This window comes from Homo sapiens, chromosome 6 (assembly GCF_000001405.40).
Source record: "Homo sapiens chromosome 6, GRCh38.p14 Primary Assembly".
Classification (NCBI taxonomy): domain Eukaryota; kingdom Metazoa; phylum Chordata; class Mammalia; order Primates; family Hominidae; genus Homo; species Homo sapiens.
Window position 1 is genome coordinate 100,577,524 of NC_000006.12, and position 22,859 is coordinate 100,600,382.

At 35.9% G+C, this 22,859-nt stretch overlaps 1 protein-coding gene across 5 annotated transcripts in view; it reads right to left on the bottom strand.

Annotated features, from left to right (window-relative positions):
* Positions 1–22,859, bottom strand: part of ASCC3 (activating signal cointegrator 1 complex subunit 3) — a 373,136-nt gene that overhangs the window by 69,330 nt on the left and 280,947 nt on the right. For all 5 annotated transcript variants that reach the window (NM_006828.4, XM_011535394.4, XM_047418108.1 and 2 more), the window contains 2 exons: positions 12,425–12,536; positions 12,111–12,245 (listed from right to left, as the gene is read on the bottom strand). In NM_006828.4, coding sequence (NP_006819.2) covers positions 12,111–12,245; positions 12,425–12,536 — 247 coding nt within the window. The remainder of the gene's footprint in view (positions 1–12,110; positions 12,246–12,424; positions 12,537–22,859) is intronic.

The following is a 22,859-nucleotide window of genomic DNA, read 5'->3' on the forward strand; positions in this document are numbered from 1 at the left end:
TTCTCCATATGGACGATTAACATAAAGAACAGAATACTATTTCCTGTTTTGTTTTTAGATATTCTTTTTGATAATGGGCAACACCTGCTGTCATCCTTAGAGCATCACACTGAGCTGATGACTTCCGTCAGCAGCAACACCAAAGTGCAAGTGTCTTTCATGGTTTACTACCATTGCCCATAATTTATCTGTGTGTGAACACACACACACCCACCCACCCACACACACACACACACTCTCTCACACATACACATAGGAAGTTTGTCACTAATGTTCATTCTTCTGTATCTTGCCCTTAGAAAGTGCCTTACACATTGTAGACACACAATAAATATATTTTTTGATGAATCAGTATATAGTCTGTGGGTAGAATAGTGAGCAACGAAATTGAGTATGAAAAAATGGAGAGTAATACTTAAAGATAAGCTATCCAAGACAGGCACACTGCAATATATTCTTAAAATATTTCTTTAGACAATTTCCTTTAGCTTAGCTCTATACTATTTGGAAGAATTCAGTTTCATCTGCAAACTCAGAAACTGTCTGTTGTCTCCATTCTTTGGTCAAAGGGTGATATTGTCAATATAATATCATTCTGAAAACTACCAGGCTGACCCCAATCATTCCACATATAAAGAAAAAGAACATAAAAGGCGAGAATTCAGAGGATAAGGTATAAACAGGCATAACATATAGAATTTTTACCAATTCTGACAATCTTCTGCTAATCAATTAAGTAATTAATTAAACTTTAATTTTAGGTTCAGGGGTACATGACCAAGTCTGTTACACAGGTAAATTGTGTGTTGTGGTGGTTTGGGGTACAGATTATTTTGTCACCCAGGTAGTAATCATAGTACTCAATAGGTAGTTTTTTGATCCTCTCCCTCCTCCCAGCCTACACATTCAAGTAGGCCCTTGTGTCTGTTGTTCCCTTCTTCGTGTCCATGTATTCTCAATGTTTAGCTCCCATTTATAAGTGAGAATATGTGGTATTTGGTTTTCTATCCCTGTGTTTCACGTAGGATTATGGCCTCCAACTCCATCCATGTTTCTGCAAAGAATATGATTTCATTCTTTTTTTTATGGCTGCATAGTTTTCCATGGTGTATATGTACCACATTATCTTTATCCAGTCTACTGTTGACGGGCATTTAGGTTGATTCCATAACTTTGATATTGTGAATAGCACTGCAATAAACATATGCGTGCATGTGTCTTTACGGCAGAACAATTTTTATTCCTTTGGGTATATACCCAATAATGGATTGCTGGGTCAAATGGTAGTTCTGTTTTAAGTTCTTTGAGAAATCGACACACTGCTTTCCACAATGGCTGAACTAATTTACATTTCTACCAGCAACATATTTTGACAAATTGTCACACTGCTTTCCACAACGACTGATTTACATTTCTACTAGCAGTGTATAAATGATGCCTTTTCTCTGCATCCTCACCAGCATCTGTTGTTTTTTGACTTTGAAAATAATAGTCATTCTGACTGGTGTGAGATGGTATCTCACTGTGGTTTTGGTTTGCATTTTTCTAATGATTAGTGACGTTGAGCACTTTTTTTCCTATGCTTGTTGGTCACACGTATATCTTCTTTTGAAAAGTATCTGTTCATTCATCTCCTTTGCCCACTTTTTAATGGGGTTGTTTGTTTTTTTTTTTTTGCTCGTTAATTTGCTTAAGTTCCTTATAGATTCTGAATATTAGACCTTTGTCAGAGGAATAGTTTGCAAATATTTTCTCCCATTCTGTAGGCTGTCTGTTTACTCTACTGATAGTTTGTTTTATTATGCAGAAGTTCTTCAGTTTAATGTGGTCTCATTTGTCAACTTTTGTTTTTGTTGCAACTGCTTTCGGCATCTTTTTCATGAAATATTTGCCAGGGCCTACGTCCAGAATGGTATTTCCTGGGTTATCTTCCAGAGTTTTTGTAGTTTTAGGTTTCACATTCAAGTCTTCAATCCATCTTGACTTGACTTTTGTATACGGGTAAGGAAGGGGTCCTATTTCAATCTTCTGCATAGGGCTCGGCAATTATCCCAGCACCATTTATTGAATAGGGAGTCTTTTTCCCATTTTTTTTGGTTAACAATTAGATGGTTGTAGATGTGTTGCTTCACTTCTGGGCTCTCTATTCTGTTCCATTGGTCTATGTCTGTTTTTCTGCTAGCACCATGCTGTTTTGGTTACTGTAGCCTTGTAGTATAGTTTGAAGTCAGGTAACATGATATCTCCAGCTTGGTTCCTTTTGTTTAGGATTGCCTTGGCTATTCCAGCTCTTTTTGGATCCATATAAAGTTTGAATAGTCTTTCCTAATTCTGTGAAGAATGTCATTGGTAGTTTGTTAGAGATAGCACTGAATGTATAAATTGCTTTGGGCAGTATGGCCATTTTAACAATAGCGATTCTTCCTATTCATGAATACGAAAGGTTTTTCCATTTGTTTGTGTCAACTCTGATTTTTTTGAGCAGTGTTTTACAATTCTCGTTATAGAGATTTTTTATCTCTTTCGTCAGTTGTATTTCTAGGTATTTTATTCTTTTTGTTGCTATTGTGAATGGGATTGCATTCTTGACTTGGCTCTCAGCTTGAATGTTGTTGGTGTACAGAAATTCTACTGATTTGCGTACACTAATTTTGTATTCTGGAAATGCTAATTCTTATTTCAGAAAAGTTAATAGTAACACTTAAATTGACTACATAAAGCGTAAGAATTCTAACTCATTTTTTTTTAAAGAGAGAAAAATATATAGCTCAGTTCAAGATTATAAATACTTATATTCTCTAAAGGAAGAAAAGGTCCAAAAGAAGGTACCATCAGTTAGGACTAGATACAATCAAGAGATCATCACTTGAAACTATGTTTTGATGATAATTGAAGAGAAATAATGGGTTTATATATTTAGAAATGTTTGGTAAAAGTGAATAGATGTTTTAATATTCTTTTTTTTTCCAATTTATGATTACCTTCTAGCTTATTGTTTTTGTGCCTACAATCATCACAATGCAACATATTCAGAAGACCCAAAATAAAAATCTTTTATTATTATTATTATTATTATACTTTAAGTTTTAGGGTACATGTGCACAATGTGCAGGTTAGTTACATATGTATACATGTGCCATGCTGGTGCGCTGCACCCACTAACTCGTCATCTAGCATTAGGTATATCTCCCAATGCTATCCTTCTCCCCTCCCCCCACCCCACAACAGTCCCCAGAGTGTGATGTTCCCCTTCCTGTGTCCATGTGTTCTCATTGTTCAATTCCCACCTATGAGTGAGAATATGCGGTGTTTGGTTTTTTGGTCTTGCGATAGTTTACTGAGAATGATGATTTCCAATTGCATCCATGTCCCTACAAAGGACATGAACTCATCATTTTTATGGCTGCATAGTATTCCATGGTGTATATGTGCCACATTTTCTTAATCCAGTCTATCATTGTTGGACATTTGGCTTGGTTCCAAGTCTTTGCTATTGCGAATAGTGCCGCAATAAACATACGTGTGCATGTGTCTTTATAGCAGCATGATTTATAGTCCTTTGGGTATATACCCAGTAATGGGATGGCTGGGTCAAATGGTATTTCTACTTCTAGATCCCTGAGGAATCGCCACACTGACTTCCACAATGGTTGAACTACTTTACAGTCCCACCAACAGTGTAAAAGTGTTCCTATATCTCCACATGTTCTCCAGCACCTGTTGTTTCCTGACTTTTTAATGATTGCCATTCTAACTGGTGTGAGATGGTATCTCATTGTGGTTTTGATTTGCATTTCTCTGATGGCCAGTGATGGTGAGCATTTTTTCATGTGTTTTTTTGGCTGCATAAATGTCTTCTTTTGAGAAGTGTCTGTTCATGTCCTTCACCCACTTTTTGATGGGGTTGTTTGTTTTTTTCTTGTAAATTTGTTTAAGTTCATTGTAGATTCTGGATATTAGCCTTTTGTCAGATGAGTAGGTTGCGAAAATTTTCTCCCATTTTGTAGGTTGCCTGTTCACTCTGATGGTAGTTTCTTTTGCTGTGCAGAAGCTCTTTAGTTTAATTAGATCCCATTTGTCAATTTTGTCTTTTGTTGCCATTGCTTTTGGTGTTTTGGACATGAAGTCCTTGCCCATGGCTATGTCCTGAATGGTAATGCCTAGGTTTTCTTCTAGGGTTTTTATGGTTTTAGGTCTAACGTTTAAGTCTTTAATCCATCTTGGATTGATTTTTGTATAAGGTGTAAGGAAGGGATCCAGTTTCAGCTTTCTACATATGGCTAGCCAGTTTTCCCAGCACCATTTATTAAATAGGGAATCCTTTCCCCATTGCTTGTTTTTCTCAGGTTTGTCAAAGATCAGATAGTTGTAGATATGCGGTGTTATTTCTGAGGGCTCTGTTCTGTTCCATTGATCTATATCTCTGTTTTGGTACCAGTACCATGCTGTTTTGGTTACTGTAGCCTTGTAGTATATAGTTTGAAGTCAGGTAGTGTGATGCCTCCAGCTTTGTTCTTTTGGCTTAGGATTGACTTGGTGATGCGGGCTCTTTTTTGGTTCCATATGAACTTTAAAGTAGTTTTTTCCAATTCTGTGAAGAAAGTCATTGGTAGCTTGATGGGGATGGCATTGAATCTATAAATTACCTTGGGCAGTATGGCCATTATCATGATATTGATTCTTCCTACCCATGAGCATGGAATGTTCTTCCATTTGTTTGTATCGTCTTTTATTTCATTGAGCAGTGGTTTGTAGTTCTCCTTGAAAAGGTCCTTCACGTCCCTTGTAAGTTGGATTCCTAGGTATTTTATTCTCTTTGAAGCAATTGTGAATGGGACTTCACTCATGATTTGGCTCTCTGTTTGTCTGTTATTGGTATATAAGAATGCTTGTGATTTTTGTACATTGATTTTGTATCCTGAGACTTTGCTGAAGTTGCTTATCAGCTGAAGGAGATTTTGGGCTGAGACAATGGGGTTTTCTAGATATACAATCATGTCGTCTGCAAACAGGGACAATTTGACTTCCTCTTTTCCTAACTGAATACCCTTTATTTCCTTCTCCTGCCTAAATGCCCTGGCCAGAACTTCCAACACTATGTTGAATAGGAGTGGTGAGAGAGGGCATCCCTGTCTTGTGCCAGTTTTCAAAGGGAATGCTTCCAGTTTTTGCCCATTCAGTATGATATTGGCTGTGGGTTTGTCATAGATAGCTCTTATTATTTTGAGATATGCCCCATCAATACCTAATTTATTGAGAGTTTTTAGCATGAAGGGTTGTTGAATTTTGTCAAAGGCCTTTCCTCCATCTATTGAGATAATCATGTGGTTTTTGTCTTTGGTTTTGTTTATATGCTGGATTACATTTATTGATTTGCGTATATTGAACCAGCCTTGCATCCCAGAGATGAAGCCCACTTGATCATGGTGGATAAGCTTTTTGATGTGCTGCTGGATTCAGTGTGCCAGTATTTTATTGAGGATTTTTGCATCAATGTTCATCAAGGATATTGGTCTAAAATTCTCTTTTTTGGTTGTGGCTCTGCCAGGCTTTGGTATCAGGATGATGCTGCCTCAGAAAATGAGTTAGGGAGGATTCCCTCTTTTTCTATTGATTGGAATAGTTTCAGAAGGAATGGTACCAGTTCCTCCTTGTACCTCTTGTACAATTCGGCTGTGAATCCATCTGGTCCTGGACTCTTTTTCGTTGGTAAGCTATTGATTATTGCCACAATTTCAAATCCTGTTATTGCTCTATTCAGAGATTCAACTTCTTCCTGGTTTAGTCTTGGGAGGGTGTATGTGTCGAGGAATTTATCCATTTCTTCTAGATTTTTGAGTTTATTTGCGTAGAGGTGTTTGTAGTATTCTCTGATGGTAGTGTTGTATTTCTGTGGGATCGGTGGTGATATCCCCTTTATCATTTTTTATTGCATCTATTTGATTCTTCTCTCTTTTCTTCTTTATTAGTCTTGCTAGTGGTCTGTCAATTTTGTTGATCCTTTCCAAAAACCAGCTCCTGAATTCATTAATTTTTTGAAAGGTTTTTTGTGTCTCTATTTCCTTGAGTTCTACTCTGATTTTAGTTATTTCTTGCCTTCTGCAAGCTTTTGAATGTGATTGCTCTTGCTTTTCTAGTTCTTTTAATTGTGATGTTAGGGTGTCAATTTTGGATCTTTCTTGCTTTCTCTTATGGGCATTTAGTGCTATAAATTTCCCTCTACACACTGCTTTGAATGTGTCCCAGAGATTCTGGTATGTGTGTCTTTGTTCTCGTTGGTTTCAAAGAACATCTTTATTTCTGCCTTCATTTCGTTATGTACCCAGTGGTCATTCAGGAGCAGGTTGTTCAGTTTCCATGTAGTTGAGCAGTTTTCAGTGAGTTTCTGAATCCTGAGTTCTAGTTTGATTGCATTGTGGTCTGAGAGATAGTTTGTTATAATTTCTGTTGTTTTACATTTGCTGAGGAGAGCTCTACTTCCAAGTATGTGGTCAATTTTGGAATAGGTGTGGTGTGGTGCTGAAAAAAATGTATATTCTGTTGATTTGGGGTGGAGAGTTCTGTAGATGTCTATTAGGTCTGCTTGGTGCAGAGCTGAGTTCAATTCCTGGGTATCCTTGTTGACTTTCTGTCTCGTTGATCTGTCTAATGTTGACAGTGGGGTGTTAAAGTCTCCCATTATTAATGTGTGGGAGTCTAAGTCTCTTTGTAGGTCACTCAGGACTTGCCTTATGAATCTGGGTGCTCCTGTATTGGGTGCATATATATTTAGGATAGTTAGCTCTTCTTGTTGAATTGATCCCTTTACCATTATGTAATGGCCTTCTTTGTGTCTTTTGATCTTTGTTGGTTTAAAGTCTGTTTTATCAGAGACTAGGATTGCAACCTCTCCCTTTTTTTGTTTTCCATTTGCTTGGTAGACTTCCTCCATCCTTTTATTTTGAGCCTATGTGTGTCTCTGCACGTGAGATGGGTTTCCTGAACACAGCACGCTGATGGGTCTTGACTCTATCCAATTTGCCAGTCTGTCTCTTTAATTGGAACATTTAGTCCATTTACATTTAAAGTTAATATTGTTATGTGTCAGTTTGATCCTGTCATTATGATGTTAGCTGGTTATTTTGCTCATTAGTTTATGCAGTTTCTTCCTAGTCTCGATGGTCTTTAGATTTTGGCATGATTTTGCAGCGGCTGGTACCGGTTTTTCCTTTCCATATTTAGTGCTTCCTTCAGGAGCTCTTGTAGGGCAGGGCTGGTGGTGACAAAATCTCTCAGCATTTGCTTGTCTGTAAAGTATTTTATTTCTCCTTCAGTTATGAAGCTTAGTTTGGCTGGATATGAAATTCTGGGTTGAAAATTCTTTTAAGAATGTTGAATATTGGCCCCCACTCTCTTCTAGCTTGTAGAGTTTCTGCCGAGAGATCCGCTGTTAGTCTGATGGGCTTCCCTTTGTGGGTAACCCGACCTTTCCCTCTGGCTGCCCTTAACATTTTTTCCTTCATTTCAACTTTGGTGAATCTGACACTTATGTGTCTTGGAGTTGCTCTTCTCGAGGAGTATCTTTGTGGTGTTCTCTGTATTTCCTGAATCTGAATGTTGGCCTGCCTTGCTAGATTGGGGAAGTTCTCCTGGATAATATCCTGCAGAGTGTTTTCCAAATTGGTTCCATTCTCCCCGTCATTTTCAGGTACACCAATCAGACGCAGATTTGGTCTTTTCACATAGTCCCATATTTCTTGGAGGCTTTGTTCGTTTCTTTTTATTCTTTTTTCTCTAAACTTCCCTTCTCGCTTCATTTCATTAATTTCATCTTCCATCGCTGATACCCTTTCTTCCAGTTGATCACATCGGCTCCTGAGGCTTCTGCATTCTTCACGTAGTTCTCGAGCCTTGGCTTTCAGCTCCATCAGCTCCTTTAAGCACTTCTCTGTATTGGTTATTCTAGTTATACATTCGTCTAAATTTTTTTCAAAGTTTTCAGTTTCTTTGCCTTTGGTTTGAATTTCCTCCTGTAGCTCAGAATAGTTTGATCGTCTGAAGACTTCTTCTCTCAAATCATCAAAGTCATTCTCCCTCCAGCTTTGTTCCGTTGCTGGTGAGGAACTGTGTTCCTTTGGAGGAGGAGAGGTGCTCTGCTTTTTAGAGTTTCCAGATTTTCTGTTCTGTTTTTTCCCCATCTTTGTGGTTTTATCTACTTTTGGTCTTTGATGATGGTGATGTACAGATAGGTTTTTGGTATGGATGTCCTTTCTGTTTGTTAGTTTTCCTTCTAACAGACAGGACCCTCAGCTGCAGGTCTGTTGGAGTTTGCTAGAGGTCCACTCCAGACCCTGTTTGCCTGGGTATCAGCAGCGGTGTCTGCAGAACAGCAGTTTTTCGTGAACCGCGAATGCTGCTGTCTGATCTTTCTTCTGGAAGTTTTGTCTCAGAGGAGTACTCGGCCATGTGAGTTGTCAGTCTGCTCCTACTGGGGGGTGCCTCCCAGTTAGGCTGCTCGGGGGTCAGGGGTCAGGGACCCACTTGAGGAGGCAGTCTGCCCGTTCTCAGATCTCCAGCTGCGTGCTGGGAGAACCACTGCTCTCTTCAAAGCTGTCAGCCAGGGACATTTAAGTCTGCAGACGTTACTGCTATCTTTTTGTTTGTCTGTGCCCTGTCCCCAGAGGTGGGGCCTACAGAGGCAGGCAGGCCTCCTTGAGCTGTGGTGGGCTCCACCCAGTTCGAGCTTCCCAGCAGCTTTGTTTACCTAAGCAAGCCTGGGCAATGGCGGGTGACCCTTCCCCAGCCTTGCTGCCGCCTTGCAGTTTGACCTCAGACTGCTGTGCTAGCAATCAGTGAGACTCCGTGGGCGTAGGACCCTCCGAGCCAGGTGCGAGATATAATCTCCTGATGCGCCATTTTTTAAGCTCGTTGGAAAAGTGCAGTATTCGGGTGGGAGCGACCCGATTTTCCAGGTGCCGTCTGTCACCCCTTTCTTTGACTCGGAAAGGGAACTCCCTGACCCCTTGTGCTTCCTGAGTAAGGCAATGCCTCGCCCTGCTTTGGCTCACGCACGGTGTGCTGCACCCACTGACCTGCACCCACTGTCTGGCACTCCCTGGTGAGATGAACCCGGTACCTCAGATGGAAATGCAGAAATCACCCGTCTTCTGCGTCACTCACGCTGGGAGCTGTAGACCTGAGCTGTTCCTATTCGGCCATCTTGGCTCCTCCCCCTACATCAGATCCTAAAAATCTTAATGAACCTAATTTCTATACGTTATTAATACCCCCAAATCCTGAAAACCAAAAGACAAATGTAATGGGTAGCTTAAGAAATAAGAAAACTTTATTCACTAATAAAATTTAAGGAAATATTATGGTAAGTTCAAAGTAATACTCAAAAGAATAGAAGTTTTTCAGTTGTAATGTTATCAGAAATACTAAAAATTTAAAAACTAAAGTTTAAAAATGACTTTAGAAACATCAATGAATGTATCTTAGTAAAAGGAAGCATTAACAATGAATGTTATATGAGTGAATTGTACAAAAACATAATATGACTTTCTTAAGTATTATAATAACAAAAGCAATGATAATGGAAACAGATCTTTGAAACACTAATGTTATCCCCACAGCTTTCCTCATCTTCTTATGCTATTATCATCCTGCACCCTACAGCTTCTGTCTGACTACACTTTCTCCTTAGTTTAAAACCACAATGAGATTAATATGCATTTTTGGAGGCAAGAGTAGGGAGGATACTGAGTTCTTTGAGTCATTTGGTAGTCTTTTCATGGTAAAAAAAAAAAAAAGTCATTTAAAGAAACTTAAGAAGAAGAAGGATTTCTGGAAATTACACCACAATTATACAATCTTGCTGTATTATTTAGCATTTTGCTGGTAGCTACACATAGTGTTCAATAGTGAACAAAGAATAATTCCTAGGCAAGAAATTAAGAAAACAGTGTGATACCTACGTATCTCCTTGTCAATGTGAGTCCTATGGTTCTTCATTCAGAATGAACCCTCATTGAGATAATACAGACTGAGACAATATCTAGCGCAAGCTGAAAGTTCCTTGGACTAAACACCATGGGAGAAGAAGATATTCTTGCTGTGGAAATTTTTATGGGGTAGACCAAACCATATCTATATAAATATTCCGTTATACAGCTTTCCTTACACATATTTTCAGATGGTTCCATTTATTTAGTTATTAACTGGAGAACTGACTTTAATTAACAAAAATATACCGGCATAACTGGTTTTATATAGTGTAATGCCAGAAAGAAACATGCTGCTGACAGGATGGGAACAGACCTTTTGTGATCAATACCTTTTCAAAGAGAAGACTAAAACAAACGTTTAATTCCCCTGGGATTTTAAGGTTTTTTTTGGCTTTTTTAGTGGAGTAAACAGGGGTACAGAATGTAGTAGGCATATGATTTTCACAAACTTCCTTTACAGCATGTATCTAGTTTTAAATTACTTTGTATCTCCCACCTCAGTGCTTTCCACCTAATTATGTGCATGTGTGCATATGTGTATGACTTGAGAGGCAGTATAGTAGGATGGTTTCAGGGCCCATACTCTGGTGCTAGACTGCAAACCACTCACTTTGGACAAGATGGTTAATCTTTAAAATGGGAATAATGATGGGATGTTATTAATATCAAATAAGTGGTTGTTGTGAGGATTAAATTAGTTTATTAATTTAAAGTTCTTAATGTCTAGCTCAAAAAACTGCTCAAAGGTGTTAGCTGTTATCATACATGTTTCCAAGGCAGAAAAGTATGGTTAAATGTGAGATTAGATAAATACGAAAGAAGTTATATTCTTAAATCTAACAGATACTAATTTAAGAGGCATGCCCAAATTAACCATTATTTTGCTGCCTGTGCCAACAGTCTCTTCCCCAGAGAAATCCTACTTTTATGAATCTTTGGCTAGGAGCTGATATAAATCTCATTCTTAAGGATCTAAAAAATTCTTTATATTTTGTACTCTTCTATCAGAAATAAATTTTTACTTTCTTAAAAAATATTTTTTGGTAGCTGCCTTATATACTTTAGTCCTCTATTCTTTTCTACAGAGCAAAGAATAGAAAACTGATTATTACAGGATCTACCTATCCTTCCATCTGTTAATTCATTAATAAAAATTTTCAAACTCACTAAAATGTACATGGCACTATGCTGGGCACAAAATTTACAAACTAGTTTCTTGTAGGGGAAAAAACTGAGAAATTGAAAAACTGTGAATGGGATATTGAAGCTTATTGAGAATTATAAAGCAATAGGAGAGGAAGGAAAAAAGTTACTAAGTGAACTACCATAGAGTCAATGAATTTATAAGAGAAGGACTTTAAAGACAGAATGGTCCAATTGTTCTTAACTTTTCTAAAAAGCACCAACACATCTGAAGGATAAGATAACAGTAAGAATATATGAATATCCTAACTAATGTGTTAACAAAGTTTTGTGGTAAATTATTACACTTAAAATCAACAAAGGGAAAAAAAGCCAGAAGGGGACATTATGTAGAAGGAAAGGTGGACAAGATGCTTCTAATATTAATTTCTTAGCTATTTGGCAAAAAAAGGAAAAATGAACACAGTATAGTTTTTTACCATGTGATATATCTGTGGTCATTTTTTTGGTAAGGGTGTTTGTGGGGATGGGGGATAAACAGCTGTCCTGACATTAATTCTAAGAACTTAATTGTGTGGATGCTTATGAAAGAAACTTCAGTAGCATCACAGCTAAGTATTCAACAGGAACTATCCAAAAAAGTAATAAGAAAAGCTTTCAATCATAATTCAAAGAGGCTATTATATTTAAGGATAGGGTGATGACTTGCCTTGCTCAGGACAGTCCAGTTTACATCTACTATCCTGGCTTAAATATTAATAGGACCTCATTCCACACTCAGAAGGATCCAAGTTTGGATCATAAATTATGTGGTCACCTTATCTATGGGTATCTTAGTCTAGATGTGTTGCTTTGTAGTGACCTTGTTTGACAGAGGAAAGGGCTTTACAAATGGTTTCTGTTAAATTTCAAGACAAACTAGGTGGCAAAACTTTAAGCCCTAAATTAAAAGAGAAGATATGAAATATATGAAAAACTCACACTTAGAATTGAAAGCAGTTCTTCAGTACTGCATTCAGGCTTCAAGCGGTCCTTGAACATTTTAACTGTTTGATGCTTCAAATAGTAATAGGAGGCAATTCGGCCATAAGTTAGAGGTTCAATGCTGCGATTATCCTATTTCAAAAGAATAACAAATGAAGAGTACGATGAAAGTACATATCTTTATAAAATTAATAATTCAGACAGGTGCTTTTGAAACAATTTTTTAAAAAATTTTGATAGTATTAAAAGCAAAAGACCTGTCAAAAAGCTGGGCAATCTTTTCAATTAGAATGCATATGACTAAGTCATACCTCTCCAATTTCAATACAGTAGGAAAGTTCCAATTCAATCAGGGACTTCTCAATCAGATGGGACAGAAACTTGTTCACAGAATCATGGCTCACATCACCCAAATTGTAATAGCTAGAAAACAAGCAAGGTTATTATTATTTGTTTCAAGACATTTTCTACTAAAACTATCACCTCAGTTTCACAGAATATATATAAATATAATCCCCTTTTATTATAAAACCTATCCTCAGTAACATCACAAAACTCACAGAAATATTAATCTTGGGTGGTAGATGAGTTCTTTTAGGCAATTCAGTCAATTATTGTTCCCCTAGTGCTTACAGAATAAATGTCATCCTAATGACTAGAAGGGACATCATCAGGGTAAAAATAAAGCATTCTAACCAAGTCTTAATACAGGAAAAATACATAAGTCCAGCTCTGTATATTTTCCAAGCAAAAAGCCTAAAGACATACATTTCACCTGAATGTGCATCCCTGCAACACTGAGAAGTTCTTGGCAAAACCCCATGGCCTCTAGGGATCTGTGCCTGGAAACAGATCCGAAGAGCAAGGGACTACACCCATAATCTTGGCAGTTCCCTAATTCCTACTAGGTGAACCCTATATCCTAGTCAGCATGGGTAATTTATATGCCCTACCTCCCTTTTCCCCATCCACATCAAAGAATGGCAGTGGAAAGTGGTCTTAGAGAACCGGTTCTCATCCCTAAGACCCCATCATGATGGTTTTACATCTGTACAGGACTAGGAAGGGAATATTCATAGTCTGGGAAAAGGGTGCTAACAATTTCAAATGGGAGAGGACTAAAGAAAGCCACAACTTGAGAGCAATAGAGAACACTATCTAGATGACAATTTTTGTGATATTTTTCATTCTTCAAAGGAAGAGACTTGGGGTCAGTAAATTATAAAAAAATTATTTAAAAATACACAAAGCAGGACTAATAATGTCAGGACATATTTTCATTAGAAAGAAAAGTTAGTGCAAATGGCTAGGTACACCCAAATATGAGAGGCCCCATTACATAAAAATTATTATAGTAAAAGACTATTGCAATTTATTTGGGAAAATTACTTCCATTAAAAAGGAAGTTACTTTAATTTTGATCTATTGAAAAGTTACTGCTTTTTCTAGAAAAGCTCTTGGCATGTACCTAAATAAAGCAATATTAATCAATTAAGAGATAAATAAGTACTGAACCTAGTGCTGTCATTAATTTAAACAAAATGTTCAAATTTATGTCTAAGCATATATGGAAGTGAAAAACCAAAATTATTAACCATTAGAAAATATTTCTTTTCTTTTGGAAAATGACTAAGGAGGAGTAGTTAGAATAATGTCTTCTGCTTTAGAGGTGAAAATAAAAATTCTGGACATTCAAGCCATATAAAAGATACAAATATCCAAAGTCATTCAAAATTTTTAAAATATTTTTTCTCTTTCATTGTTTTGCAAGAAATGAAATTCATCAGTCAAACTTTCTACAATATAAGTGCTTACTTTGTATTTCACATTCTTTTGGCTTACTAAGCCTATAAATTTTCCAATACTATTTTTAGCTGTCAGGACTAATACATAGCTGATAAAGTTATTTCTAAATTCAAAACACTAGTCAAAATGTGCCCAGGATACTAAGTAGTAGGATTTGTAGAGTAAGAATCAAACTATTCTTTTTTTAAACCAAATCTGTCTGCCTTGATCTTGGAACAAACAATTCTTTATGCAACTGACATTACAGAAAGAAGATATTTTGAAAATATTACTGTGAAATACAAAAAAATTAAAATACTATTTTTATCTATCCATTTACTAGGTCGTTTGAAAACTAATGGATCCTGTTACGGATTACCATCAGCCGTTGTCCTATATATAACTGGGATGTCAACTTTACCATTTTTATGCTTTAATGAATAAATTTGGTACACTTACAAATAATATTTAAAACTATCAATGAAAAAAAACTTTCCTTGAAAAAATTACAGGTTCTTTTAAATATTTATCTTATTTTATTTACTGTATTTGCTTTATTTTGTTTACTGTATTTACAAGGTATATTTCAATGGATTAATATCCCTTCTAAAGTCTGTTTATTTAAGCCTATTGGGACTTTTTAAAGACAAATCTGTGGTTTTCATCCAGATAAAATATAGTCAGGGTAAATATATCTTAAACATTTAAAGTAAGTCACCAAAAAAAAAAAAAAATCAACCTAAATGATGTTTCTGAGATTACAATAAATTATATGATGACACCACTAAAATATTATTCATAATCTAACTTGCTAAAAGTTCACATTTCTTCATGCAGAAAACATAAATGTTTCACTGTTATTTTTTCTTAACACAGTTTTTTTTTCTAAATGTGGTCACCAACATTCTTATTGACTTGCATAACAGAAGAAATACAAAATTCAATTCAAGTAAATTGAACTTCACTGATCTTTACCAAATACTATTCTTGGTCAATATTTGGACTGAGATTCTAAAGTCATTTAAAATATTTTCAAATCCTTATAAAAGTAAGATATTGTTACATCTTAATTAGATATACAATTTGTGAGACACTATAAAATAATTTAAATGTAAATGAAGTTTTTTAGGTTACATAAAATTTTGGGAGTTAATATATTTTGAATTTTTCTGTGAATAAGGAATAGAGTACAGATTTATATGCTCTCGATTAGTAGCATAATACAGCCTTTACTTCTATGAGGTGAACTTTTTTTAGTTACTGTGCATCTTCTAGCCTGAACAATTATAAGCATTTAGCTTAAAACATTACATATCATTAATTTTAATAATCACTTTACTAACTTGAAAAAGCATGCAACAGCTAAGTAAAAAGGTCTGTTTTCATGTTGCACTCTCCACAGTACAAAATTTGTAATTTACTGGTTATTTAAACACAAACATTTCACAACTGTTTAATTATGGGTAAAGGATAAAACGTAGTTTTATGTTCACTGCATTGAATCATCAAGTCATTATCTTCTCTTTGCCATAAACGGACAGCCTACCTTTTTGTCAGCATGCTATTTCATTTATTTCACAGAGAAACCCAGTTTCACAATAATTGACTTGTCAGAAGCTCTAATTTATGAGACTGAGCTCTGTAAGACTTCTCTATATTGGACTCAACCTGCACACAAGCAGGGTTGAATATTTACAATGCTGTTAACAGGTGCTGAGTTGTTTAATGATTCTAATAGCCAGAAGCGTACTGAGAAAGCCAGCGGGATCACAATTACAGGCTGTTTGAACACAACAATTACTAGTCCCCTGAGAGGTGTGAAAGTCAAAGGCAGTTTGATACTGACAGCATCCAGCACATGGGCTACACAAGCTAACTTCTATTAGCAGTCCATTGGGAAAAAGTCATAACAAACCTCTCCCTATCATAAAAATTTACAAAGTTCGTAAAATTTAAAGAATCAAAAACTAAAAAGTTTTTCAAAAATTATCTTTAAAAGATCTTATCAAAGGACAAACAAGAATACTACATATGAAATCTCAAGTTACTTTTTCAAATCTTAATACTGATGAAATTTCACCAGTTGAGAATGAAAGAGGTTTTATATTAATGTAAAACATAGATAAAGTTACACCAAACGGTTTGGATTTAATGTGAATAGTGGCAGCCATTTCCTGTTTGGTTTATGTAAACCTGTTCAGATATCTTGCTGGGAAATTTTTCATCAGTATTGAAATGCTGCTGCTATAACTGTCAGTAGTGGGAAGTCATTTGTTACAGCACCATTTTTTTTATGTTCAGATTATGCAGCAATAACAATGACACAAATAGCGAAAGTGGTTGCAGGAACAGCTGAAACTACCACATTTTTGCCTCAGATATATTTAAAAGCTTTCTCAGGGGAAAACAGAGTAAAACTGAACATACAAATTGAATCCAGAACTCAATTTGGAATATATTATATTTTATGAAAGCACCAGTACATGTGTTTATATTCATTTGCACAAGTTAATGTGTGTGTGTATGTTATATGTATATATATGTGTTTACATATCTAAACATAATTATCTTTATATGCATATATACATAATATACACACACAGACACACACAAGAATATAAATAGACATATAGTGACCAACTCAGGAACAGTGGTTGAAATCTTTGTCAACACAAGTTTTACTTTTGGTGTGCTGTGGCGAGGACTTCATAGTAGTATGATTAGCTGAAGGGAGCTGGAATATGAGGTTGTATTTCTTTACCTATATATAACTATATTATAAAAATGGTCTTTCTTTTCTATTGTTAAGTAAACCTCAGTCTCTTTGTTATACACACATGCAGATGAACAAGCATGCATACATATTCTTCCTTCCCAAGGAAAGTCAAATCTCAATTCATGGTACTAGATGATAAGGATTATTAAGGAAAAAGTAAAACTATACATAATGTAAGTGTTTCATTAGAGACAATTACTTTAGCATTTTAAAAAATTTTATCAGATCTAAAAATAAGTGGGAAAAATTTACCAGTTTCCTGTGGCTTGGTTTGCTTCCAGCTTTTGGGAAAAGTGATTTTAACACAGACAATAATAAAAAGACACAAGCGAGGGCCAATCACAAGAATGTGGAGAAAGGGGAATCCTTGTACATGGTTGCTGAGAATGTACATTATTAGCACAGCCTCTTTGGAAAACAGTATGGATAGTTCCTAAAAATCTAAAAATAGATCTAGCATATGATCCAGCAATCCCAGTTCTGGGTATATACCCAAAGGAAATGAAATCAGTATGTTGAAGAGACGTCTGCACTCCTATGTTCACTGCAGCATTATTCACAATAGCCAAGATATGGAAACAATATAAGTGCTCATCAATGGATATTCAAATGGATTTGAAAAATATGGTGTATATATACACAATGGAATATTTAAAAAAGAAGGAAATTCTATATTAGCACCAACATGGATAAATCTAGAGGGGGAGGAATCTAGAGGGCATTATGCCATTGAAATAAGGTAGGTAGTATGGAAAGACAAATACTGTATGATCTCACTTATATGTGGAACCTAAAAAAGTTAAACTCATAGAAGTAGAGGGTAGGATGTCAGTTATCAGAGGCCATGAGGGTTGGGAAAGCCATGCAAGCAAAGGGGGAATTGGTCAAAGGGCATAAAGTTTCGGTTAGACAGAAGGAATAAGTTCTGGTGATGCACTGCACAGCATGGTAACTATCGTTAATAATAATGTATTGTGTATTTTAAAATTACTAAAAAGAGTAGATGTTCTTGCTACAAAGAAATGATAAGCATGTGAAGTGATCGATATGTTAATTAGCCTGATTTGTTCATTTCACAATGTACACGTTTTGAAACAGCACATTGTACACCATAATATAATTATCAGTTAAAATTTTTTAAAAGAAAATTTATGTTCACACAAAATCTCACAAATATTTATAGCAGCATTATTTTAAAAAAGAGTCAATTAAAAAAGAAGGTGGCAGAGCTTGACTATAGCTAAGTAAAATATATAAATTGTCAAAATTTACTTAGGCACATTTTTCCATTTTTATCTAGATGTGAAGGTTTATATATTAAAACTGACAGTTTGTTTTTTGGGGGGCATCAAATAAAAAGGGTCATTTGAGTGAGTATGGCAGAGTTTCCATAAAGAACCCATTGTTCAGCATAGCACTGAAAAGAGAAGTGGACAGGGAATGTGGACCTGACAATGAGCACAGTGATGGAGAATGGGATGGAATCCTAGTGTTGCCTCTGTCACTTGGGAGCTGTGCTATTGGGAGCAAGTTGCTTATTCTCCTTGTGCTTCCTTTATTTATAAAATGAGGATCATAACAGTACTAAATGAGTTAAGCTCCTGAAACAGCATTTCAAATATAGTAGACACCCAATAAATATTATCAATGCAGATTTTTGTTTACAACTTTATTAATTCCAATTTTTATTTTTATAAATTTCTTTCCTATATTTACATTTTGCTATTGTTCTTTATCTAGTTTTTAAAGATAAATGCTTATTTTATTTTTAAGCATTCACATTTTCTATGAGGTCTGTAAAGATATAAATATTCCTTAGAATTGTGCTTTGGTTTAAATTCATTGTTTTATTACATTTGTATTTTTGTACAGCTATGGTCTATACCTTTCGTTTTGATTTCATCTTTTACTACAATAAAAGTTTTATAATCCCAAGCAGTTAAATTTTTTTGCCATCCCTTTTATTGCTTATTTCTGGTTTTATTATATTACACAATGAGAATGTAGCCTTATGATCTCTATGTTGAGATGTTCTTTGGGGTCTACTTCATAGTAAATTTTTCAAAACAAATCTTCCATTAGTGTTTGTAAGTAATGATATTTTGTTAGGGACATATGTACAAAGATACAATGGATACAAATTCAAGGATATTATTATTTAAATCCTCTTTTTTATGAAATACTTATCTTTTTGATGTGTTAAAGTCTCCTAACATGACTAATTTAGTTGGGCTGTAATTTTAATTGAATTTCAGTTTTTGCTTTACATATCTGATGTTATTTTTAGTCTCTCTAAAAATCTGTAAACTACCATAACTTTCTAGTGATTGTGTTTGTTACCAATATGATACACTCTTCTTTGTCCTTTGTATTTTTTTGCCTCGAATTTGGTTTTGTATGATTTTAATTCTGCTGCTGCTGTTTTCTCTTTGCTATCATTCTCCTTTACATCTTCTTTCAATCCTTAAATTTCAGCTTTTCTATGTCAATCACGTTTGAATGAATCTGATAATTTCTCTTTTACAACAGGGAAGTTTAAATCATTTACAATATTTATTATTATAGTTGACCTGACTTACGGCATAAATAGATCCCATCTGTCCCCTGCTCAAAACTCTGCAATGGTTCCTGTTTCATCCAGAACGAAAGTCAAAATCCTCACCATAGTTTCTAAGACCACCCATGCCCTATATCACCACTGGCCCTCCACATCCCCAACCTCATCTCCTGCTATTTTCCTGCTTTCACTTATCCTACTTCAGCGACATCTTTTCCTTGTTGTTCCTTGAATACACCAGGCATGCCAGCCTTAATATCTCTCTTGTTCCCTTGGCCTGAAATGCTGTTTTCTAGAAAGTGGTCAACTTTCTTACCTTTGTCAAGTTTTGGCTGAAATATCAGCACCCTTAATGAGGCCCACCCTGACTTTCTTTTTAATACAGTATTGTAATCTCCCATCTCCCCCCAGGCCGCCTTCTGGCTCTCCCAATCTTCCTTATCCTGTTTTCCTTCTAAACATCTATTACCTTTTAATAATATTAAAATCTACCGTCTCTGCTAAAAGAACATGAGTGCCAAGATAGCAAAAGTTTTTGTTTAGTTTACTAATACATCTTCAAAGTGGCTAGAGTGGTGCCTGGAACATAGTAGGTACTCAATAAATGTTTACAGAATTAAGAAATAAAAAAATTAATTTTTAAATGCTTATACTTTATAATTTTAAGTAAATTTTATGATTTTTGAGGCTAGAAGTCATTATTTATGTTGCTACTATCTTCCAACAGAAAGTAAGAGTTGCCAATCATAGCTTTTTCTGAAAAACAAATTATTGCTGTATCTATTCTAGATTTATGAACTTACATGGCAACAGCTTGGGCATAGGGTTCTACTTCAGAATAATAATGACAGCCCAGCCACGTATCTCAACATATGTATTGGTGGCTACTGAAGGAACCAACACATGAAATATGAATGGTCAAGAGTGGATAAACTGGGCCAGGCGTGGTGGCTTATGCCTGTAGTCCCAGCACTTTGGGAGGCCGAGATGGGCGGTTCACGAGGTCAGAAGATGGAGACCATTCTGGCTTACACAGTGAAACCCCGTCTCTACTGAAAAAAAAAAAAAAATTAGCCGAGCATGGTGGAAGGTGCCTGTAGTCCCAGCTACTCGGGAGGCTGAGGCAGGAGAATGGCGTGAACTCAGGAGGTGGAGCTTGCAGTGAGCCGAGATAGCGCCACTGCACTCCAGCCTGGGCGACAGAGCGAGACTCCGTCTCAAAAAAAAAAAAAAAAAAAAAGTGGATAAACTGTTACTTGTGAAAATCAGTTGAAGCTACATTTATCAATATTGACTGGACTTTTTAGACTGTTAAGACTTGGCTAGCTGTAAGGGCTGAGGAGGGTACTGCAGGCAAGAAGAAGAGTGACAGCAGAAGCACAAAAGTGAGAGGAACCTCTTATGTAGACGGTGTGGGTTAATATCTACACTAGCCCCTTTGGTGGTAGGCGGGAGATACTCAACCCTCTTTTTGGGGTAGCAAGATGTGAGGGAAAGCAGCTGCCACAACTACTAAGAGCTCTTAGTCAATGCATGAAGACAATTTACCCTTCTGACTTTCAGTCCCCAAATTTCCTACAGCTAAAGAGGTGTGAACTAAAGAATACTCATTTATTTACATGGACTACACTGACTACCACCATGTGTGAGCAGGAGACATCCTAAATTGCTAATACCCAAGAATACTCTGGATCAGAGGCTCACTATAATTTCTGTAATTAATAAACCTCTTAAGATTTCATCTTTTGTCTACTGTGATAAGTCTCCCCAAACTTCCTGTTCTTTCATTACTACTGTTTATTACAGTTTCATGTGGATTTTCTCACCATAATATTATAAAATAGAAGGCAGTTTGTAACCAGAGCAACAGGGAGTCATACCTACCCAGCTCCCTGTGTGTGGGACCCCTGTTCTGACCCGTGTCTCCAACTGTGCTCCTGGCTCATCTCACTCTTATGGTTGAAAAAAATGTAAACACTGGACAATTTCCTACTCATTATCTTAATTTAAAGATTTACTGCATTCTGTGTCTGCTAACTAAACCTTATCTAGTTCCCACCCCCTATATAATACATTTAATTTCTGATCAATACTATCTGACAGTTTACAAAGTAGGCAAAATTGAAAGACAGACTAAAAGCAGGTTAAGCAGTTAGAGGACTATGGAAGCAAAGGAGAGGGAAGATCAAAAAGCAAACTTGGGGTTTTAAGTCAAGGTAAACAGATACAGTGATAATATTAAGAAAAGTAAGAAAGTTAGAGTAGAGAAAGATTTTTAGAGTTACATGATTAATTCAGTTTTGGACATGTTAAAGTGAAATGATGGTGGGAAGTCCATGTGGCAACATTCAGAAGGCTGGAGAAATAAAATTGTAACTTGATAGACAGCAGATTATAGCCACATATTTTAGGGTCTTTCACATACAAGGTGATATTTTAAATATAGATAGGACCAGCAGAGAAGAACCTTTTAATATTATGTCCTGAGAAGAACACAATATCATTTCTGTAATATTCTTGCTGAATAGACATAATTTGAATTTAGTGATGAGGAAATCAGCAAAAGCCAAATTGAAGGACATTCTACAAAACAATTGGCCAGTTCTCTTCAGAAATGTCAAGGTTATGACAGACAAAGGAAGACTGAGGAAATATCACAGACTAGAGTGAACTAGACAGGGCAACTAAATGCAACTCAGGGTACTTAACTGGATCTTGGACAGAAAAGGGACATTAGTGGAACAACTGGTGAAATCTGAATAGCTTGTAGTATTGTATAAATGTTAATTTCCTGATTTTGATAATTAGACATGGTCATGTAAGATGTTAACATGGGGAAGCTGGGTGAAGGGTATACAGTGCTGCTTTGTACTATTTTTTTTTTTTGCAATTTAAAATAGAAAGTTCAACAATTAAAAAAAAATTTAAAAAGGAGATACATATACAAAGGGCAACGTATCTGTGGATTCAGTAAGGAACTACAATTTGCTAAAGTACTAAATTGGCCTCAGAGAATTATGTCTCTGTGTGCTAATTAGACAAACTGACTAAAATGACTAGGTTCTTATCTCTAAACTAGACTCTTTAGGATGGTACAGATCAGTAAAGCAACTGACAGAGAGTCCAGAACAGCAGCTCAAAATCGACATTATATTCTTTATAATTAATACAGAATTAGAATGGCTTTAATTCATTTATTTAATTCTCAATATGACCCAGTGAGGGAGGGAGGCTATTCGTTACTTTCCAGATGAAGAACGTCTAGCTCAGAGAGGTAAAGTGACTCAGACTCACACCATTAGTAAAGGATAGTGAGGAAATAAGAATCAGTGTGTTGATTCCAAGCCCAAAGCTCTTTCTGTCACACTAAATGCCTTGATTCTTATGTAATAGAAATGATAAATATATCTACAGTTACATGCCAACTCCCATCTATACACACATGCACATGCACACACACACACACACACACACACACACACACAGTTGTAGATTATGAGTCAGAAAACCTGACTTCGTAAGATCTGGCTTTATCAAGAAATAGTAATGGGACCTAGAACAAGTGATTTAAAGCTTCCAGCTTCCATATATTCAATATCAAACAAGAAGATTGGGCTAGAATAAATGT